Below are 23915 nucleotides of genomic sequence, written 5' to 3'. Positions count from 1 at the left end.
CTTTTGTAGGATACCATAAAATATTGATATGTTTAACCTCATTTTACAAACTAGAAGCTATTTTTCTAACAGAAAATATTATAAACATGCAAAACAAAATCATAGCCAATAACATGTATCCATAAAAGACAAACAAAACAAGCTGGTGAACTAGATATAACTGGATGTTAGCAAGATTTCTGCTGGATAAGCCTTCATTGATTTTGTCGTCTCAATAGTAGCAGACGCCAAAAGTTTAAAAACACATACTTGAGAAAAATGGATAATCCACGACATTTTTATCCAAATAAAGCCCTAGAAGTTGGCTTTTTATTTGAGCTGGGGGAAGACAACTTTTATTTCTAGAGCTTGGTTCAAGTATAAGAGTACAGTTAGTATTAACATTCAGCAGACTAGTTAAAGAACTATTGCTCTCAGGCAGCTGCCGAAGGTGGGATGAAGAGTTACATATAATGACACTGGGGGCCGGCCTTGCAGAAAAAGGTTAGCACACAAAAGTGGTGCTGTACAAGGGAGGAATATGGCACAGAACATTCGAACCACATCTACTTAAGGTGGCTATATATTCAAGCTTACCCAGTGCCCAGTGCTGACAACTAGATCATCCCTCGGAGATTACACGAACAATCAGACGTTTTCATTTGAAAGTTAGTTTACAGTTTAATTCTTCTCAAACCCTTCCTAACATACCAAAGGAAAACAGTAAAGCAGCCAGATGCTACCACAAAATAGTATCTCTTAAACCGCGAAACAGTAGAAGAGTTACCACAACATCCCAATGTCAACTACCTATGTAAACCATTTGTACCGAAGATATCATTTGGTCAGTTTAATCCAAGGATCTCTTTCCCTTAGGATCAAACTAGAAAGCCCACAATGTCCCCCTAGTTCCAGTTTAGATTCCAAGAGCGTTTCTTCTATTATATTTTCATTAATCTCAGAGATTACTGCTTGAATTTAAAAAAGATTATCCAAGTATTGTAACTAACACAAATTGAAGCATTTGGACTGTAGTGAAGGCGGCAATTAGACTGAGTTGGGAGACCTATGTGCTTTGCCTTGGTTTGTTCATATGTATTTGATAACTTTTTAAGGTACTCAATCTGTCTCAAAAAGTGTTTGATTCTAATTCAGAATCCTGGAGCCAGAATGTCTTGGTTGAAGTCCACTATTTGCTAGTTGTATGGCTTTGGGAAAGATAGTTACTTACCTCTCTGTCCCTTGACGTCCTTACTTACAAAATGGGGATAACAAATACAATCTACCTCAGAGGACTGTTATGAAGAATAAATAAATTAGTATGTATAAAGTACTTAGAAGAGTGCTTGTCCCATAAAGATTATTATGAGTGTTAGTTGTAGCCAGAACGCGTATTTATTGGCAATAAGATCCTTCCCTCAAATTTTGTTCTACATATTGGGGAAGATTGTATGCATGTGTAAATAGACGAGTTCTGGTTATCTGTACAGTGTCAAAATTTTCAAGAATTTTTGGGAGTTGATGTCAAATTACCAAGAGTAGTGACTCACCAAAATGAATAGCAAACAATGGTAGAGTTAATTTGATTCTATTTAAAGACTCCTACAAGAATTATTTATATTCTGCCGGGTGTGGTGGCACATGCCTGTAATCCCAGCACTGTGGGAGGCCGAGGCAGGTGGATCACTTGCGGTCAGGAGTTCAAGACCAGCCTGACCAATATGATGAAACCCCATCTCTACTAAAAATACAAAAATTAGCTGGGTGTGGTGGCATGTGCCTGTAATCCCAGCTATTCCGGAGGCTGGGACAGGAGAATCACTTGAACCCAGGAGGCAGAGGTTGCAGTGAGCCAAGATTGTGCCATCGCACTCCAGCCTAGGAACAAGAGCGAAACTCCCTATCAAAAAAAAAAAAGAATTATTTATATTCTTGAGAAGTATAGGTCTCAGTGAAAGGCTTCTTCAAGTAAGACAGTAGTTTTAAAGGATGCCTATATATTAGTGAAGTACATGAGCAGAGGGCTGGAGAACCACATCTTACTTTGGTGCTAGGACCTTACAGCCCTGTACTTGCTTAAGTCCATGGAGATAGTAATTACACAGAAGGTGGCCAAGGAATGACCACTAATACTAATACACACTTACCTCCTCTGACACCATCCAGTGTCACTGAAGTCTAGTTTCTTTTTTTCTTTTTTTGAGATGGAGTTTCGCTCCTGTTGTCCAGACTGGAGTGTAATGGTGCGATCTTGGCTCACCGCAACCTCTGCCTCCCGGGTTCAGGCAATTCTCCTGCCTCAGCCTCCCAAATAGCTAGGATTACAGGCATATGCCACCACGCCCAGCTAATTTTGTATTTTTAGTAGTGATGGGGTTTCTCCATATTGGTCAGGCTAGTCTCGAACTCCTGACCTCAGGTGATCCGCCCACCTCGGCCTCCCAAAGTGCTGAGATTACAGGTGTGAGCCAGAGCAACTGGCCAGTCTAGTTTCTTTTTTTAAGCAAGAATAAAAAGGTTTTCTTATTAAGATTCTGAAAAGAAGAAAGTAAAATGTACAAGTTTAATAAAAACAGGTTTTCTGGCCAGGCACGGTGGCTCATGCCTGTAATCCCAGCACTTTGGGAGGCCAAGGTGGGACAATCACTTAAGCCCAGGAGTTCAAGACCAGCCTGGGCCACATAGTGAGACCCTATCTCTACAAAAAAATTAAACAATTAGCCGGGTGTGGCGGTGCATAGTCCCAGCTACTCAGGGGGCTGACGTGGGAGGTTTGTTGGAGGTTGGGAGGTCAAAGCCTGCAGTGAGCCATGACTATGCCACTGCACTCTAGACTGGGTGTCAAAGTAAGACCCTGTCTCACAAAAAAGGGCCTTTCAAAATATTTTTAAGAAGCATTCTAAAGTATTAATATGATAAAAGGGAAGAGAAAAAAATTGCAGAAAAATTATCCTCTTAAAATATGGGGGAAGGCAATAACTACAAAAATAAGTACAGTTACTTTTGGGCTCAATCTTGCCTCAATGGAAAAAACTGGCCTAAATATTTTCATTCATTATTTTAAAGTATTGTTTACAGAAACGAATTGATTGTGCTATATTACTGTCATGTTATTCTTCAGATAGAGAACGTTCATTAAACTTCATTTTTGTCAATGATTTGCCCCTCATCAGTTTAATAAAATTTTATGCTTCCTGCTTGAAAGTAACATTGACAAATGCCATCTCTTTTTTCTGTAACTTAAAACACTTAATATAACCACTTAGGGCCTGGGCCTGACTTCCATAAAAGATAGTATTAAATAATCTGGATAAGTATAAGAATAACCATTTCTCCTCAAAAACTAGAATCAGTGTTCATGTTAGAGGTTGAGTGAATTGAAGCAAGTGTTTGACTTATTTCTCAAAAAAGGGTGCTCAGGGAAAAGAAGACATTTCAATTTTTGAGTTTTTAAAAAGCCCCATATCAGTTGTGACTAGTGGAGATCGTGGGCTAATTACTGTCTTTGATGTAAGTTTACACTGTTAAACTACCTTATGAGGTCTTGTTGGTACTAATGCATTGAATCCAAGATAAAAATTGAGAAACACTATTCTAGAAAGACCCCCCTAAATTGTATGTCAGTTTAAATCTCATTTTAAAAAGACAGCATACCAGCAGATCTATAAACAAAGCAACTTTGATTGAACAAAACATAGGTATACCTCTTCTGCTGTGTCCAGAACTTTGCTAGACAGTGGGGATACAAAGATGATTAATTCACAATCCTTGTCCATAAGGAACTCTTAAGTATGTAAATAATCACAATTTGATAAGTGTTAAAACAACAAATGTATACATATAGTCAATACCTCATTTTGTGGATGTCACTCTAAAATGTACTGTCAGCTTTTTCTTTCATAATGAAATAGTCCATGTAAAATACGTAAATTATGTCAGGGATGTTCAGCCAAGTAATTTAACCAAGATCACACAATGAGTGACTACGCTTCAGCACCAGCAATGGCTTGTGTCTTTCAGCCCTCTCACTGGCTGGTCACCTCTGGAGGCCTGCTTCTCTCTGCTATCCTAATGGATCTCCCTAGCCTGTCAGGTGACAGGTGAGAGCCCTAAACCATTGCACTAGTTCAGAGTAAGAGTCAGGACTGAAGAAAAGTTAGGACTGAGGAGGGGGCAGCAAGAGGCTGTATTTGACCTTTTCCTCCTTGGTCAAGCCTGCTTCTGTTATAGCAAGAGGCAGTGTAATGCAGTTTGTGGTACAACCTGGAATCAGGATGCATGGATTTGTATCCTACCCCCTTTTTAGCTGTGTGGCCTTGGGAAAGTTAGTTAACTTATCTGTGCCTCTCTAAAATGGGAATAGTAATAATACCTAGCATACAATATCATTGTAAGGATCATGTGAGTCATTTTAACCCACCTCTTTCATCAGCGTGACCTGGATGTGAGACCCGGAGTCAAAGGAGAACATTTTGCAGCTGTAAAATTTGACTGCCCCACTGGATTTTGGACTTGCATGGGCCCTTTAACCCCTCTGTTTTGGCCAATTTCTCCCATTTGGAATGGCTGTATTTATCCAATACCTGTATCCCCATTATATCTAGGAAGTAGCTAGCTTGCTTTTGATTTTACAGGCTCATAGGAAGGGACTTGCCTTGTCTCAGATGAGACTTTGGACTGTGGACTTTTGGGTTAATGCTGAAATGAGTTAAGACTTTAGGGGACTGCTAAGAAGGTATGATTGGTTTTGAAATGTGAGGACATGAGATTTGGAGGGACCAGGGGTGGAATGATATGGTTTGGCTATGTCCCCAGCCAAATCTCAACTTGTATTGTATCTCCCAGAATTCCCATGTATTGTGGGAGGGACCCAGGGGGAGGTAATTGAATCATGGGGGCCAGTCTTTACCATGCTATTCTCGTGATAGTGAATAAGAATCACGAGATCTGATGGGTTTATCAGGCATTTCCACTTCTGCTTCTTCCTCATTTTTCTCTTGCTGCCACCACGTAACAAGTGCCTTTTGCCACCCGCCATGATTCTGAGGCCTCCCGAGCCACATGGAACTGTAAGTCCAATTAAACCTCTTTTTGTTCCCAGTTTCAGTTATGTCTTTAAAAAGGAACTAATATAGACACTGCGTCTGCCCTCAGGGTCACTACAGAGTGGGAAACTTAAAAAATCCTTATTGCTGTATTATTGTTTGATACCCACAGATAAAAGAGCAACAGGTCAGAATGAATGAGACTGATTAAAACAGTTCTTGTTCACTTATTTGTTAGGCTTAAAAGTAATATATTTCTAAAGAAGTTCATTTAAAAAGACAAACCTTCAGCTTGAGAACACGATACAATATGGTTGATGGTTAATAGAGATAAATATTAAAGTATATCACTAATTCTCCTCAGTTTGAATGAATGGGGACTATAAAATATAGCATATTCATTCACTGATTGGAGTGATAGAGTAGAAAGTAAAAAAAAACTGATGAGGCAGAAAAGAGTGGTGACAATTCTGAAAGAGAAGTCCTTGTATAGATAGGAGAGAGGATGGGTTCTAGTACACAGCGGAAGGTTTCATCTCAGATAGAGACATGGACAATTCATTCCATATGATCAGAGAGAACGCAGACTACATATGGTAAAACAGTGGTGGTGGAAGGATGAGAAAACTGCCTTTTCTTTTCTCTTCAGTGAAATAAGCTGTGAGGTAATCTCTGAAAATAAGCTGAGAGTAGGGAATGGGGAGAAAGTATGACATATTGTAGTTGTCTCGGAGAGTGGGAATGTCAACTGACCAGAGAAATAAGGAAGCACTGCTAGACAGTATTTAGGGCCCTCTTGGGGTTTGTGGTCACAATTGTAAAGTGAGATCTGTCACTATGGTTGTTTTTCTCTAGCCCTATTCAGCTGCCGCGGTGTAGATGGTGAGCTGATTTTAACTACGGAGACAAGTATGACAGAGGGAGTGACTGTAACAGTAGACTGCAGAATAGCCCAGATGAAGAGGGGAGCAAAGAAGTGATTATTTTAAGGAACTGGCTCACACAACTGTGGGGCTTGATAGATCTGAAATCTTCAGAGTAGGTCTGCAGGATGCAGATTCAGGGAAGAGGTGATGTTGCAGCTTGTCTGGAGCCAAAATTCGTTCTTCCTTGGGGAACTTAGTTTTTCTTTTAAGGCCTTCAACTGACTGGATGAAGCCCATCCATATTTTGAAGGGTAATTTCTTTACTCAAAATCTATAAAATTGTTACATCTAAAAAGCACCTTAGCAGCAACATCTAGACTGGTGTCTGACTAAAACTGGGTACCATGGTCTACTCAAGTCGACACATAGCATTAACTATGACAGAAATAGTCACAGAAAAGATTTAGGAGGCAGGGCAGTTTTTAGATCACTGTATATCCATGAGTGCCACAGAGTGCAGAAGTTAGTTCAGGGAGGGGTGTAAGATGAGGACAAACAAAAAGAGAATCAGCATATTTCTGGGTTATGGAGGGGATGAGATGAGGAAAAAGAAATACAGCATGACAGTTAGGAGCGCAGATTTTAGTGTTAAGAGCTCTTGTTCAAGACTGTGCTCTACCACTATGGCGTGACTCTGAGCTTGCTTTTCAACTAGGCCTCAGTTTCATCAACTTAAAAAGGGATAATAATATAAGGAAATGGCTTAGTATAGTGGCATACTGAAAACACTAAAAAAAAAAAATCAGGTATTAATATCGGAAGATTCAATATCAAAACTGATATCAAAACTTGCTGGAAGAGACTAGTATAATTCAACATCTAATAATGGTGCAGGAAGAGGCAGAAATGAATAGCACAGACAGTCTTCAAACAGACCTAAATATCCATGATAATTTAGTACAACATAAACATAGTATGTGCCACAAATTAACATGGGGAAGCATGGATTATTCAATAAACAGCATTGGGATAACTGGCATTCCACTTGGGAACAAACATGTAGATTATTTCTATCATTTTTTGCAAGGAAAAATCTAGGGAAGGACTGGAAGATGAAAGGTTATAAAAGACCAACAGTTTTGACCACATAGAACAAAATTTCTGTAAGGCAAAGGACACTTATAAATACACTTACCAAGCTTAATAGGGGATTTTAATTTATTTACTGTCATTTCATAACTTATATGCTTGGTCCTATTTGTATTTATTTTTGAGACAGGGTCTTGCTCTGTTGCCCAGACTGAGTGCAGTGGCACAATCATGGCTTACTGCAGCCTCGACCTTCTGGGCTGAGGCAATCCTCCCATCTCAGTCCCTTAAGTAGCTGGAATCACAGGCATGGGCCTGGCTAATTTATTTATTTTTTGTAGAGATAAGGTCCCACTACCACCCACCTCAGCCTCTCAAAGTGCTGGGATTACAGGCCTGAGCCACAGTGCCTGGCCTTGACTTCATTTCATATTGAACTTTTCTCTGTTTTTTCTATTACACCATATGGATTACGTCTTCGTTGCTCTTTTCCCTGTAGGTTTGATTTTCTCCCAATAATACATCTTAATGAAAAAAATTAACACATACACTCAAATATAATCTTCCAAAACAAGAATTAAGTATATTTACAACACACGTCCTTCTATATAGGGCTGCTACAAGCTTTTACCTCTTCTCTCTCACCCAAGGTTTGTTCAACATAACCTGAAAACTTAATTTTTAAAAATCATCATGCTTGTTCTCTTCAAAGAGTAATTCTGGACACTGGCCCTGTTTTTAACCACAGTTATAAGATTTAGCTATGTTAAATGAGTATTGATGGCCATGGCCTTTCCTTTTAGTGTAACCACCCCATTGTTAAGTTCTTAAATAATTTTTTTTTTTTTTTTTTTTTTTTCCTGAGACGGAGTCTCACTCTGTCGCCCAGGCTGGCGTGCAGTGGCGCAATCTCGGCTCACTGCAACCTCCGCCTCCCAGGTTCACGCCATTCTCCTGCCTCAGCCTCCCGAGCAGCTGGGACTACAGGCGCCCGCCACCACGCCTGGCTAATTTTTTGTATTTTTAGCAGAGATGGGGTTTCACCGTGTTAGCCAGGATGGTCTCGATCTCCTGACCTCATGATCCGTCCACCTTGGCCTCCCAAAGTGCTGGGATTACAGGCGTGAGCCACCGTGCCCGGCCAAGTTCTTGAATAATTTTTTAACCCCCAGAAAGGTATCTACATATTGTCTATGTCCTTTTGTACATGAATGACAACTGGAGAAGCTATAGTATTCAGACATAAATCTTTTCCCTTTTAATACTCTGTAGATAATGCTCTACTTTATTATTCAGCCTTTGGTATAAGCAAAGAGAAGTCTGAAATTAGCCTGATTTTGTTCCCGTGTAACTTTTTTGCCTTTGTGTATTTGTAGGATTTTTTACTTTATTCTTAAAATTTGCAGCCAGGTGCGGTGGCTCACGCCTGTAATCCCAGCACTTTGGGAGGCTGAGGTGGGCGGATCACGAGGTCAGGAGATCGAGACCATCCTGGCTAACATGGTGAAACCCCGTCTCTACTAAAAATACAAAAAATTAGCCGGGCGTGGTGGCAGGCGCCTGTAGTCCCAGCTACTCAGAAGACTGAGGCAGAAGAATGGCGTGAACCCAGGAGGCGGAGCTTGCACTGAGCCGAGACGGATGCCAGCCTGGGCGACAGAGCGAGACTCCATGTCAAAAAAAAGGAAAAAAAAAAACTGCAAGTTAAACCAGGCTTTGGTTGAATGGTCCTAACTTTTAAAAAGTTTTGCCTATCACTTGATCCTTTTGACCCTTCTACTTGAATTTCTGACTTTCTAAATCTTGTTGTTTTCTCTTTAGTTCCCAATCTAACTCCCTTTCTAGTTAAAAATTAGGAAATGGTGCTTTTCATTTTTGTGGAATCTATCCTAATCCCAGATTTTTCCCTTTCTGGTGGTACTGCTTGTTCTATTTTCAATGATCCTACTGAATCTACCTGAGAACTTAAATCAACAATTCCTTAAAAACTTCTCTTGTTTCTTGCTGTACATTTACTTAACAGGTAGCATGTGGCCCGATTTACAGCCTTGATGTTTGCTTACCCTCTGTCTGGAACACTTTCTCCTTTCTACATGGTATACTTCACCTTTCAGGAATGCCTTCTTAGTGAGGCCTTTCTTGACCACTCTCTTTGAAACTGCAGTAACCGGTAACTATACCATCCTGACTTACACTGTCCCTCCCCTTCTTTGCTTTACTTTCCTCTTTAGCACTAATTACCACTTACTATCTCATATATATTTTATTAGCTTTATTCTGTTTAATAGACAGTTTAGATAGATGAGTTTGGCATTATTTAACTATTTTCTGGATAAAAATTTCAAAAAACAAAAAACATCCTGTTTTCATCAATGGGGGTGGAGGGAAGAATATGATAGAAAAGATGTCAGTTCTTCCCAAGTTAATTTATAAGTTTAGTGCAAGCCCAATTAAAAAAATCTATGGACTTCTGGGTATATATCCAAAAAAATCGAAAGCAGGACTTGAATAGACATTTTTATTTTTATAAACCCATGTTCACACACCATTATTCATAACAGCCAAAGGATGGAAGTAACCTGTGTCTAATGACACTGAAAATTAGCTTGATTTAGAAAAAAACAAACAACCCCATCAACAAGTGGGCAAAGGACATGAACAGACACTTCTCAAAAGAAGACATTTATGCAGCCAAAAGACACATGAAAAAATGCTCATCACTGGCCATCAGAGAAATGCAAATCAAAACCACAATGAGATACCTTCTCACACCAGTTAGAATGGCGATCATTAAGAAGTCAGGAAACAACAGGTGCTGGAGAGGATGTGGAGAAATAGGAACACTTTTACACTGTTGTGGGACTGTAAACTAGTTCAACCATTGTGGAAGTCAGTGTGGCAATTCCTCAGGGATCTAGAACTAGAAATACCATTTGACCCAGCCATCCCATTACTGGGTATGTACCCAAAGGATTATAAATCATGCTGCTATAAAGACACATGCACACGTATGTTTACTGCGGCACTATTCACAATAGCAAAGACTTGGAACCAACCCAAATGTCCATCAATGATAGACTGGATTAAGAAAATGTGGCACATACACATCATGGAATACTATGCAGCCATAAAAAATGATGAGTTCATGTCCTTTGTAGGGACATGGATGAAGCTGGAAACCATCATTCTCAGCAAACTATCACAAGGACAAAAAACCAAACACCGCATGTTCTCACTCATAGGTGGGAATTGAACAAGGAGAACACTTGGACACAGGAAGGGGAACATCACACACTGGGGCCTGTGGTGGGGTGGGGGGAGCGGGGAGGGATAGCATTAGGAGATATACCTAATGTGAATGATGAGTTAATGGGTGCAGCACACCAACACGGCACATGTATACATATGTAACAAACCTGCACATTGTGCACATGTACCCTAGAACTTAAAGTATAATAATAAAAAAAAAGAAAATTAGCTTGATTTCTGTGGCATATACATACACAGTGGAATATTACTCAGCCTTAAAAAGGAAGGAAATTCTGATACATGCTGCAACATAGATAAACCCTGAGGACTATGCTAAGTGAAATAAGCCAGTCACAAAATAAATACTGTATTATTTCACTTAAATGAGGTTATCTAGTCAAATGCACAGAGACAGAAAGCAGAATGATGATTACCAGGGACTGAGGGGAGGGAGAAATGGGGAGTTGTTGTTTAGTGGGTATAGAGTCTCAGTTTTGCAAGATAAAAAAGTTCTGAAGACTGGTTGCACAAAAATGTGAATATACCTAACACAGTAGATTGTATAGTTAAAAACGTAAATTTTATGTTATGTGTATTTTAACACAATTAAAACAAAACAAAAACCTATGGAATTTTTTTCAGCGAGCCTTACAAAGTACTCCTAGAAAAGGAAATGAAGGCCAATAAAGCTTTGGAATAATAGTAAAGGGAAACTGGCCTAATCAGATTCCAAATATAACGTGAAAGTATAATAATTAAAACAGTGTGGTAATAAGGCTAGAATCAACAATTCCGTATGGGTAAGAATTTAGTATTATGATTAAGGATGACATCACAATTTAGAGAGGAAAGACTTATTTCAAATAATGTGGGGCCAATTAGTTGATTTTTAATTTATTGTTTTTAAGTTACTGTCACATCTATACCAAAATACATTCCAGATAAACTAAAACAAAATTATTTTCATGCATCCCATTGTCCTTTTATTATTATTTTTGCCTTTCTTACAGTTTAAGATTATTTTGGCAGTTTCTCACTTTACATTTTATGAACCAACTGGCTGACATTTACACAATAATGTTGCTTTGGAATTCAAATAATCTTGTAGAGAATTCGACAGTCAACAAACGGAAAGTGTAAGTACATCCCATCTTAAGAAAAATCCGACCGGGTGCGGTGGCTCACGCCTATAATCCCAGCACTTTGGGCGGCCGAGGCAGGTGGATCATGAGGTCAGGAGACTGAGACCAGTGTGGCCAACATGGTGAAACCCTGCCTCTACTAAAAATACAAAAAAACTAGCTGGGCATGGTGGCGCACGCCTGTAGTCCTAGCTACTCTGGAGGCTGAGGCAGGAAAATTGCTTGAACCCAGGAGGCGGAGGTTGCAGTGAGCAGAGATGGCGCTGCTGCACTCCAACCTGGGCGACCTCTGTCTCAAAACAACAACAACAACAACAAAACAACAACAAAAAAAGAAAAATCCATAAAACAAAGAATTCATCTAAATAGTAGGCTCTCTGGTATTTTTAAAGTATCTGATTTACAAGTTTCAAATGTTTTGTTAACTTTATCCACCATTATAAATGTGACCATGGAACTGATATACACTGGAACGGTATGCCACTGCAAGTCTGAAGGGGTTTTAGTCACCAATACGCTTGGACCCTACTGGCATCTGAGTTGTATTTTTCAAATACTTCAAATTTTCCAGCTTAAGTTACTAGGTCAATATTTATTCTATGCCAAGTCGAGTGACTGCTATGATGAAACAATTTTTAACTGAACATTTTTGGGTTTACAAAACACCTTTCATAGATGGCACTGTGGCAGAATGACTCCCCAGAATGTTCCCAGAACCTGTGAACATGTTACATAGCAAAGAGACTTTGCAGATGTCATTGAAATTATGGACCTCAATATCAGGAAATTATCCTGGAATATCTGGGTGGGTCTCAATTACCTGGCCTCTTAAAAACAGAAAACTTTCTGTGGCTGGAGGTAGGACAGATGTGGAGGAAAGTGAAGTCAGAGATATTTGAAGCATAAGGATTCCACACACCATTGCCGGTCTGAAGATGGAGGACTGCATGACACTTGAAGCAACTGAGAGAGGATCCCAGCTGACAGCAGGAAGGAATGGGACCTCAGACCTACAAATATAAGCAACTGAATTCTGTTAACAATCTGAATGAGCTTGGAAGCAGATTTGCCCCCAGAGCCTAACACCTTGATCTTGGGCTTGTGAAGACTATAGCAGAGGAACTGGGCTAACCCACCTGGTCTTCTGATTTACATAAGTGTGAGATGATAAATTTGTGTTGTTTTAAACTACTAAGTTTTTGGCAACTTGTTATTGCTGCAATAGAAAACAAATGTACATATGTATGGAAACTGAATTCTTTTCTCATACATACTAGCTTCCCCCACCCCCTTCCCCCCTAAAAAAGAAAAGAGGACAATGCCATAAATAATGTAGGAGGGCAGATGTACAACTGTCCTTTTGCTTAGCTAGACTCATGGGTCACTATTTGCCCAAGAAGCATATTGATACAAGTAAATTAAGGTAAATTCCTTACCGTTTAAAAAAAAAAAAAAAGATGGATGACCAGCTCCTATTATTCCTATTAACTAGTTAATTTATGTTAAAATTCAGGAACTGACAATGTTTTCGGAAAGATTATCTTCCAAAGAGTAATTAAGATCCAATTTCAAGAAATAAACTTATTAAAAACATTTCCTCAGTCTAGTCCCATAGTATTTTAAGTTTTGTCAAAGAAAACTATTTGATTTTTTTCTGTCCCATTCCTATAATCCTCCCCTCCCCTTCATCTGGACACCCTAGTCCAACAATCAAAGCTAAAATCTAGCAATGCACTTAAGCAAAGGTACAAGAAAAAAACACCAGAAATAGGCATTTGGCACAAAGAGGAAGATCACATGATCTTTTCATGCCATTTAAGTTACTGGCAACTCTCCTAATAAAAACCAGCTAAAGCCCCACTCATTGAGCGGATATTTCTAGAACACCATCTAGTGACAGGCCCTGTTCTAGACACTGGTCATAGTATGGCGCTATCGGAGAACTCACAGTCTGGTGGGATGCACGGGATAGTATACGCAGTAATGGAGACAGGCACGAAGCACAACTAGGGCATAGGAGTTCACTCAAGTCTCAGGAATAAAGACTAAGCTACAGCCAGAAGGAGCAAGCAGGAGGTTGCAGGTGATCAATGCTGGACAATGCCACTCCAGACAGAAGGATGGGCATGCATAAAGATATGGGGATGTGATATAGCCTGTTTGGACAGCTAAAAAATTTCACTGTGTGAGAATAAAGACTGTTATATAGAAGAGGGAAATGGACCTTTAACTGTCAGCCAGGGGCCACATCATAAAGTGCATTACACTTTATCCTGGTTATGTTTCAGAAAGGTTACTTTGGTAACAGAATGGAGGAAGGATTAAAATGAAGTAATACTAGAGACTGAAACTCGTAAGGAGGCTATTATATGAATAGAGATGAGGGCCTGAACTTGAGAAGCATTAGTGGAAATGGGGATAAAGTAACCGATTTAAATAATATCCAGAAAGTAAAATATGTGACAGACATCATAGGTTCCCATCAAACTGCCATTTCCAACTTTTTGCCTTCCTCACCCACAACTCACCATAAAGGTTAGAAACACCAGATATCCACTTACTCAGCTTCATCACAGTTGCACACGAGCCAATTCTAGATAATCTCTTCGGGGAAGGAGTGGGGCTCTGGTAAGTTTTTCCTTTCTATTAAAAGAACAGAGGTGCATGTAGAAAATGACCCTATCTTCTTCCATCTTCCTTCACATACTGCTGACTGAGGATACTATTTGGTGCTTATGGCAGTTACTTTACAATTATGAGAGGACGAACCAAGGGCAACAGCCAACGTGCTGAGGATGGTAGAGTAAAAGGATGGAAAGTCCTGGTTCTTGATGGCACAGCTGAGCTGCTGAACTAATCCAGGGCCTGTTTATCTCTGGACTTAAGTATCCTTCCAGCTTAAGCCACTGACTCTCAAGCTCTCTGTTGCTTTCAGACAGAATCAACCAAACTAAAACAAAGAGACAGGGCCAGCTGACTGACTGTGAAGGGTTTATAATAAAGAAGAATTTAAGTTTACTCCCAGGTTTCCGGTTTGGGAAACTACAACAAAAGTGGTGGCTTTTTGGGCAGTGGCATGGGGCAAGAGGAAGAATGTGCGCTGTGGACAGGAGGAAAGGGAAGAAGTTTGTTCCTGGACATGTTGATTTGAGATACGAAGGAACCATTTAGGTGGGATGTGTGATTCTGGAACTTGTTCAAAAAGTCTGAATTAGATCTGCAGATGTATGAGAAATCGGATCTATCACACCTGCCTGACCTGACACCCTGTTGGAGGAGTCTAATGGAGACAGGCGTCAAAAGAACGGAGTCCAGACAAAAATGTCCTTATTTGAAGTGTCCTAGAAAGTGGTTCTTTTCTATTCTTTAAAGACTTTGAAGATGTATAGGTACTACTTTATAATAAAATTGGTACTGGCTGGGCACAGTGGCTCATGCCTATAATCCCAGAACTTTGGGACGCTGAGGCGGGCGGATCACTTGAGGACAGGAATTTGAGAAAAGCCTAGCCAACATGGTGAAACCCACCTCTACAAAAATACAAAAATTAGCCGGGCATGATGGCAGGTGCCTGTAATCCCAGCTACTTGGCAGGCTGAGGCGGGAGAATCACTTGAACTGGGGAGGCAGAGGTTGCTGTGAGCCGAGATCGCACCACTGCACTCCAGCCTGGGTGACAGAGTGAGAAAACAAATAAATAAAATAAATAAATAAAACTGGTAGAAACTTGTTAACACAATGAATTTGCAAACATTATCAAATACCTGCATATTTTTATTTTATAAAAATTCATTAGTCAAGATAACCTGAAAAGCACAAAATCTGGATCTATGAAAAATGAAGACTTAAAATGACTACACCAGAGATTTGTCTCAGTATTTGAAACTAATCTGAGTCACCTGCTTTGCTATGTGTGCCAGTCAATTAGGAATACGTGAACAAGCTCATTCCCACGACTCAGAAAGTAGCTCCAGGACGTTTTTATTGGTGGTAGATTACTCCAAAGTACACAGAGGAACATAATCACTGATAAGGCAGCAAGCAATAGGAACACTATGCATAATTAAGTAACCTTCTGAGGATCACACTCTTCTTCCATGAGAAGGAAGTTAATACTGGTGACCCCCAATAGAATTATTTTCATGCATACGGCAGAGTTATGGAAGAAAAGAAATGATCCGCAGCAGCCCAATCTAGAAAATAGAAAAATACAATCAGAACTGGAACGGGTGACAATCTAACAAAGAGACACAAGGACACATGGCAAGAGGTCCCTATAACCATGATTATAAGGGCATCCCTAAGGTTGATTTTCATATTTACAGAGTTGGAACCAGACAGCTGATGTACTAGGCCTATACAGACAACAGCAACCCTCATCCAAAGCATCTCTGATGAATAGGAAGAATTACCAAAGATAAAAGGAATTTACCCTTGGCATCAAACAAAAATATTTCAAAAACCAAAACTGACTTGAGAAAAATTAGTATAACAGACCAAAATTTGTATCTCAATCTAAACAACTGATCACACTGTTCCCCTCCATGAAAACCTTAAATGGTTCTGCTGGCTCAAGGAGCCCCCTCAGCCCTTCACCCAAGCCCACAACACATCTGACTAAAGAAGTTCTAATCAAACTTTCAGTTTTGTCTCCTTTCATTTATGCTCTACTCTAGTTATACTGGACCAGCTGATAGTTCCCAAATCCCACCTGCGCTTTCCCTATTCCTGCCATTTTGTTCACGTCAATTGTTCTCTGTCCTTGTGGATGCTACCCATTCTTCAAGTTTCATACCTTTGATTTTTCAGCATTCCCTGATCCTACAACTACATAGTCTCCTCCTTTGCATCCTTGTCTGCTCTTATCAAAACCATGCTATTCTGTCTTGAATTGTTGCCACTGTTGTGTATCTCCTCTACAATACTCTAAATTCCTTAAAGAAGAAAGGACAGTTAACTCATCCTTGTGGCTTCTACCAGGTCAAAAATAATAAGTAATGGTAGGTTGCTGAATTAGTGACATAAAACACTCAAAGCCCTCAAAAGAACATATAAGACCAAGTTTATTAAAAGTCTAATAATTCAACTATTTATCATTCCGATAAACATTCATATGCTTCATCTCCTGTTCACAGGCAAAAGCAATATAAAGACATAAGTGCAGGAATTAGTAGAGAAGATAGTGAATCAGATTTTGGTCTACAAATTCTAGATTGTATTTTTAGTTGTTTAGGCAGATCACTTACTCTCTCCCCTGTCTGCTGCTTCTCTAACTACCTATTTTACAAACTTGATGTGAAGAATAAGATCTCGCTCATTAGTCAATATTTTAACATCGTTCAGAACAGTCCTCCCTTCGAAAATACTGAATACCATCTCTAGCTTTTCCCAATCGACCACAATTTGCAGATTTTCCTGTATCACAGAATGCCTCAAGTGTAAAGAAGCCCACTATATGCCAAAACATGCATTTTCGTTTTCATATAAAAGGTAAAACTCTCTTCCTCTATTCTCACAAATTCTTTTAGGCTCTGAAACCATGGCTTCTGGCCACTGTATACTCCTAATTTAAATACGGGTTTGTTTAATAATCTAGGAGAAAAGGCACACTGTGATCTCAAGAGCAGAATATATTCTGAAAGACAGTAATAGCCCTCATGAATAAAAAACAAACCAAATTCAGATTAGGGGGATGTGCACAGAGAAAGTAAAAGGGCAGTTAAGAGTCTTGAAAGATAAAGGTGTTCAGCTGAACACAAAAAGTTTAAATCCAGAGAATTATTTCTCAACCAGTGACACAGGCCACAGAACTTACAAAGTGCCATGGTTTTCTAGGATCTTTTGTTTGGCTTATTCTCCTCTTCAACTTTTTCTGTCCTGTTCCACTTTTCTCAGCATGTTAACTCATCTCCTTTCATCTCCAGGCTCACATCAGAATTCAACAGAGGACTCATCTCAAGTGGCAGGCAGTTCCTACACCCTTCTGACACAATTCCCAGATATGGCATGAGAAATCCCACTCTACCCAAGATATAATAACACTGTAAATTTAGAAACTTATAAATAATACAAGGGAATACAAAGTTTAGAACTGTATAAGACTCTTGGCCTGTAGTATTTCTGCTCTCCTGCATCTTTAAGCCAACAAAAATAACGACGGGCAATTTTTCATTTGTCAGTCAACTTACAAGGAATTTTAAGCACTGCAGTCAGAGGTACTAATCCAGTCTACAGAACAAAAACCCATTCTACAGAACAAAGCAAGCAAACACACCCAAACATGCATCTAACTGCAACGACAATTCTCTACCGGGTGCTTTTTTCTGGGGGCATTTCACTGCAAAAATCAGGCAAACCAGTTCTTGGACTCGATTCTGCGTGCTTGCCATACTCCAAAGTTAGATGATACAATAAACAACTTCTTCCCTTCCCTCTCCCGTGGTCACGTCACCTGTTGCATCACCTGGAAAGTGGTCTTCAGAGTGTAGGAAAGGAGCACCACCAGGATCTCTAAATAATTCAGCTGGGCTATTTTCTTGAGAAATGTTAGCCTCATTCATATTTTAACGAGGTTGCCTTTAACACACAAGGAAAGGGTGTGTTGGCTCCTGTTCACCTTTGAAGAGATTCTAGCACAGGCACCCGAAAGCTGTGACCTTCTGGACTTAGAGGGGCTTGGGAGTTTCTGAAGACGTAGCCATGGAGAGAGACGGACAGTTCGGCAGAAGCAGAGGAGCTGGGAGCGCAGGCGGTCGGGACGGGGGTCCCGGGGCAGCCCCGGGGGCCGGCAAGTGGGGTTGGAAACGCAACGGAAGCTTTGCCGAAAGGACACTGCACGTCGGCCAAGGGGTCGGGCCCAGAGCCGGGGTCGGGTCCAAGCTGAGCGGATGGGAGAGGTTCAAGCCCACCCGAGCTTTGGCCAAAACCCTCGGGCTGACTGGGTTCACCGGAGCGTCGACGAGTGCGAGGATTAAAAAATAACAATACTCCCTCCTTCACCCCCGGCTTCCCCCGAGAACTAGGCTGGAGGCGGAGACGCCAGGCAGGAAGCGCCTGGGGCCGGGGTCCGAGCCCCACGGGCGAGAGGAAGCCGGCCTGGGCCAGGGCTCGGGGCCGCCAGGGGCCGCACTCACCATGTCGTACACGTTGAGCACCACTAACTGGTTAGCCCCCATCCTCCTCCCCGCGGCCGCCGCCTCGTCCTCAAGCCGCTCCGTCTCCGCGGGGCCGGAGGCCGCTCTCACCCCCGCGGGCGCTTCAGGGGGCCTGAGCCGGGCACTAAGCGTACAGCCCGGCCCGCGGCAGCCGGGGCGGAAGCATCGGGCAGCCGAGCCGCTCCCGGGCGCCGCCGACAGGAGCGTCTGTGCGGACGGGGCCGGACCGTTGGCGGCCCGCTCCGGATGAGGCACCTCCCCTAGGCGGCAGACACGTGGGGAAAGGCGGGGCTTGAGCAAGGGGCGGGCGCCAGGCGCCCCGGGGGCGGGGCCGGCCCGGCGCCAGGACTGAGCCCGCCTGCGCTCTGGTTCTCGGCCGGCGCACCTCGGGACCTAAAATGGCGGCAACTCCGGCGCCTCCGCGTCCTGGAGGAACGGGGACCCAGGAAGACTACAGTTCCCAGCATGCAGTGAGGATTCCCCCTTGCTACTATAAGTGCAGAGGCGGAGTCTCAACAGCCCTTCGACTACAACTCCCTGCATGCCGCGGGGGCCCCGGTCCTACCAGACCAGGCCTCCCCGGGAGACTACAACTCCCAGCATGCAGTGCTTTAGAGCTGCGGCAGATCCCTTGCCGCCCGCGGGCGGTGAAATCTCCTACCTTCATTCACCCTCTCATCTCAGGTGCTGCTGCTGTTAGTAGTTCATGTTGCGTTGAGCTCGATGAAGCCAGCGAAATGTGGCAAAAGACCAGAGTGATGACCCTAAGTTTTCCAAATGCTTCCTCACCTTTTATTTGGCAAGGGGAGTGGTGGGGAAATAGAGGAAGACGAGTTACTGGTGTGGGATGAGGTGTAACGTGCATCCAATTAATCCTCAATGTGGAATTTACATTTTGTGAAACTATCCTGCTGAGATGGGAAGGGTACAGTAACCGTAGCTTAGCACAATCCTGGGACGTAGTATGCAGCTCTGCATTAATTCAACAAATGTTTGTTATGTGCTTCCTATGTGCCAGGCAGTGTTGTAGGCCCTCGGGAATGCCGTGATAAACAGGAACAGGGACATACAAAATATCACTGGTATGTGCTTTGCAGAAAATTTAAGTAAGGTGAAGTCATTCTTAAATTGGCTGCACGGGGAAGATCGCTGTAATGAGTTTTAAGCTGAAATGTGAATGACAAAGCCAGCCCCGCAGATATGAGGGGGAGGAGTATTTCAGTCAAAGGGAACAAATGCAAAGATCTGAAGCATGAAGGAGTTTTCTGTATTCAAGGAAACAAAAGATCACTCTTGCTGGGACACAGTAGGCAAGGAGTCGACGGTACTAGATGAGCTGGGCAGGTAGGCAGAGGCCAGATCCCGGAAGGATTTTAAAATTCATAACAGGGGTTGTATTTTAAACGAAGCCATAAGTTTGGACCAGGGAGTGAAATGAGTGTGCGTGTGTTTAAAAATGATTACTTGGGTTGCTGTGTGGAAAATGGATTTCAGAGAGGCAAAGGAGGTGGAAATAGGGAGATGAGTGTGGCAGATTGTGAAAATAGCCACAAATTATTTCCAGTCTCCCAAATTATACTCTTTGGTGGTGTCTACCCCCACTGACTGCACTGGACTGTGACTTGCTGTGGACGTGGGACATTAACATCGTGCAAGCAGAGGCTTAAAAAACACTTGTGAGTTGGGGCTTGCCCTCTTGCTGAACTTGGGAGTCCTGTGACCACCATTTTAGGAATGAGTGTGGGCTAGCCTGATGGATGATGAGGGACACGTGGTCAAGTCACGGCCCACATCCAGCTGACAACCAACCAACTGCGAACATGTGAAGCTCTCCCGGACTATCCTTCCCTGGCCACAACCACATGGATCGGACGAACTGACCAGCCAACCCACAGAATGTGAGAAATAATGTTTTAAGTCACAAAGTTTTGGGGGTGGTTATGTGGCAAAAGTTAATCAAGTCCACCAATTGGATGCTGTTCCAGAAGTGCATGCCAGCAAGTGGCTTCGTTGTGGCTGATAGTGGTGGAGACCGAAATAATTAGAGTTTAAATATTTTGGAGTAAAGTCTGTGGAACTTGCTAATGGGTTAGATGTTGAGTTGGTTAGGGAGAGAGGATTCGAGAATAACTTCTAGATTTTTGACTTGGGGAACTGAGTGGATAGTCCTGGCACTTCTAAGATGTGAAACATTTTGGGGAGGAGCAGGCTGGGGGTAGGGAAATCAAGAGCTATGGTTTGGTCATGCTAAGTTTGAGATGCCTTTTAGACATCCATGACTGCCAAGTAGTAGACATTTGAATAAACTGGAGTCATGGCCATTTATAGACTTGGGGCTTGGTTGGATGACCTAGGAATATGTGTAGCTAAAAAGAAGTGGGCCAAGAACAAAGCTCTAGGACCCTTCACCATGTAGAGGTCAAGTAAAGTATGAAGAGGAAGCACGGAGGCAGGAGGAAAATCAGAAAGAACATGATAACATTGATGTCAAGACTATTGGATTCAGCAATATAGAAATCACTGGTAGCTTTGATGTGAGCGGTCTCTGGGAGGAGTGAGATTTAAATAACTGCTTTAACAGTTTGAGAAGCAAATGTAAGGTGACAAAAGGGAGACAACTTAACTTGGGGGCAACAGCTGGATAAGGCGGTGTGGTCAATGGAGGGCATTTTGAAGATGGGAGATGCTGAGGCATACTTGCATGTAAAGGGAGAAAAATTGATATAGGAGAGGGAAAGATTTGCAAGGGCAAAGAAGGGAGAGGGATCCAGGACACAAGTTAATGGTTGCTGTTTAGTAGGGGGGATGCTTCATCTGTAGTGATGGCATAGAAGGCAGATGCAGGTGCACAGTTACGGCATAGAAGGCACGGAGACGGGTAGGCAGGTTAGAAATACGGGAGTGTAGGAAATGAGGGTGTTTATTCCTGATTTACTTTTACTTTCTCAGTGAATTATGAGGCAAGAATGTCTTCAAAGAGTAAGACGTGAGGAGAGGGGCATAGGGAGTTTGGAGAGACAGAAGGTGATGTAAAATAGAGGAAATAAGTAAACTTGGAAAATATGGTTTGTCAGGTAGTGTTGGGGGACAGTAAATGCTGTGCACATCATTACTTGACTGTCCTCTGGAAGGTTGTTGACAAAGTTCTAAAACCTGTTTTTGGTGCATCAGCTGCCTTGCTTCTCTTTCCTCCCATGGTGTTCCTCCCCACCTTAAGCAATTACAAACTACGTAATCACATCTGCTAAGCCCTTTTTCCTGTGAAAGGTGGGGAAAAGGCACTGTGCATTTGCACCTTATTTAGTCCTGGCTGCAGTCCCCATAGATTCACTTTAACTCTTACTGTACACACTCCCTTTGCCCTTTGTGATCTCATCCACTCTCAGCTGTAACTGTTGCATGTATACTGAAGAGCCGCATGTCTCCATCTTCGGTGCTCTTCTCTCTCCAGAGTGCTAGGCCAGTATAACCTACAGCCTCTTGGACTTCTCTAACAGGATGTGTTGGTTTCCCTTGGCTGCAAATTGCCACAAACTTAGTGGTTTAAAATAACACAAACTTATTTTCTTATAGTTCTAGAGATCAGAAGTCCAAAATGGGTCTCCCTGGGTTAACATCAAGGGCTGTGTTCCTTCTGGAGACTCTAGGGGACAATCTGCTTCCTTGCTTTCCCAGGTTCTAGAGGCTGCCCTCATTCCTTGGCTCATGGCTCATGGCCCCGTCACTCCAGTGCCCACCCCCCACCCCACACGCCATTTCCATCATCATGTCTTCTCTGACTCCCTTATTTCTCCTTCTTACTTATGAAGAGCCTTGTGATTAGATTGGGCCCACCTGATAACTGAGGAGTCTCCCTCCATCTCAAGATCCTTAATCACACCTGCTAAGTCCTTTCTTCCTATGAAAGGCAACAGCCACAGATTCTGGAGATTAGGATGTGAACATCTCCCGGGGGGGCTGGGATTCTGCCCTACCACACAGGATGGCCCATGGTTACTTTGAATTTATCAGGTACAAAATAGAATTCATCATCTAATGATGGAATGAGTTATGCTGCTCATGTAATTCAGGTATTGATCCATCAATAATGAATCATCCATCCTTCATTCATTGAACAAGTGTTAAATGAGTACCTTTGATGTGTCAGCCTCTGCGTCACTAATTCACCTGTGATAGAACAGACATGATCCTACTCTCATGAAGCTTACAATCCAGTGAAACACAGAGAAGAATATATATATTCTTACATATATATAAAATAAATGTAATATAAAAATATATTCTTCTTTTTTTTTTTTTTTTGAGATGGAGTTTCACTCTTGTTGCCCAGGCTGGAGTGTAGTGGTGCAATCTTGGCTCACCACAACCTCCGACTCTCGGGTTCAAGCAATTCTTCTGCCTCAACCTCCCAAGTAGCTGGGATTACAGGTGCCTGCCACCACGCCCGGCTAATTTTTTTTGTATTTTTGGTAGAGACCGGGTTTCTCCATGTTGGTCAGGCTAGTCTCGAGCTCCCGACCTCAGGTGATCCCCCTGCCTTGGCCTCCAGGCCTCCAAAAGTGCTGGGATTACAGGTGTGAGTCACTGCGCCTGGCCAAAAATATACTTATATAATAATATTCTTATATTACATATTATAATATATAATCTGTATTATATATTACATTTTATTTATATATATTATGTATTATATATCTGTATCACTAATTCACTATGATAGAACAGACATGACCCTACCCTCATGAAGCTTATAATCCAGTGAAAGAAAAGAATATAGTTACATATATCCTATAATAAAATATATAATATAAATTCTTATATATAGAATTATTCTATTACATAATATACAATAGAATATAAATATTCACTCATAATTTTATAATTTAAATTGAAGGAGACAGTAGTAGAACATAACATGCAGACTTATTTGAGGTGGTTGTCAGGAAACGGATGAACAAAGAGAATTTAGTATACAGAATTGTAAATTGGGTATTAGAGGGCTGAAACAAAAAGGGAACACTGAGGTGTCAGAAAGCTAGAAACAGCTAGGACACTTAGGTCTGGGGGAATAAAGAGGTCAGAATTGAAAGATTTTTGAAGCTTGCAGGAGAGCCCTATTAAGCTGGAATTGCAAACCCTGAAGAGGAGAACTGCTGGTCTCTGGTATTTCTAAAGGGGCACAATGACATCGGCCCTGGAAAGTTTTAAAAACTTCGAGCTAGGAATTATCCACCGCTGCTGAAATCAAGCGCTACTGCTGCTAGATGAAGAAGCCTGCCTACATTCCTGCTGACCGGAAGGTAGAAAACAGGAAGTCCCTCCTCCTCCTGCCTTCCAGTCTCCCACCAATATCCCTCCCTAGATAGAGAGGCCCCGGCAACAGAAAGCAAA

General features: G+C 41.8%; 1 protein-coding gene across 8 annotated transcripts in view, besides 3 other annotated features; it reads right to left on the bottom strand.

The window, feature by feature from the left end:
• Nucleotides 1–18733, bottom strand: part of DESI2 (desumoylating isopeptidase 2) — a 55908-nt gene extending 37175 nt beyond the window's left edge. For 5 of the 8 annotated variants that reach the window (NR_123735.2, NR_123736.2, NM_016076.5 and 2 more), the window contains exon 1: nucleotides 18504–18733. Coding sequence is in view for 5 of the 8 variants with exons in the window: in NM_016076.5 (NP_057160.2) it covers nucleotides 18504–18545 (42 nt within the window). In the remaining 3 variants the exon portion in view is untranslated. Of the gene's footprint in view, nucleotides 1–17833; nucleotides 17947–18503 lie in introns of those variants that run through there. The other 3 variants (XR_001737208.3, XM_011544203.4, XM_011544206.4) reach the window with 1 other exon arrangement.
• Nucleotides 18220–18989: a silencer, noted in NCBI's record as "silent region_2016". NCBI's record gives its function as "represses an Ori minimal core promoter by ATAC-STARR-seq in GM12878 lymphoblastoid cells {active_cell/tissue: GM12878}" and the evidence as "EXISTENCE:reporter gene assay evidence [ECO:0000049][PMID:35858748]".
• Nucleotides 19070–19229: an enhancer, noted in NCBI's record as "active region_2841". NCBI's record gives its function as "activates an Ori minimal core promoter by ATAC-STARR-seq in GM12878 lymphoblastoid cells {active_cell/tissue: GM12878}" and the evidence as "EXISTENCE:reporter gene assay evidence [ECO:0000049][PMID:35858748]".
• Nucleotides 19489–20062: an enhancer, noted in NCBI's record as "NANOG-H3K27ac hESC enhancer chr1:244815099-244815672 (GRCh37/hg19 assembly coordinates)". NCBI's record gives its function as "activates a minimal SCP1, AML or CMV promoter by ChIP-STARR-seq in naive H9 embryonic stem cells {active_cell/tissue: H9 hESC(naive)}" and the evidence as "EXISTENCE:reporter gene assay evidence [ECO:0000049][PMID:30033119]".

The sequence above is a fragment of the Homo sapiens genome, chromosome 1, assembly GCF_000001405.40.
Source record: "Homo sapiens chromosome 1, GRCh38.p14 Primary Assembly".
Lineage (NCBI taxonomy): Eukaryota > Metazoa > Chordata > Mammalia > Primates > Hominidae > Homo > Homo sapiens.
This window is presented reverse-complemented; position numbering and strand designations above follow the sequence as displayed.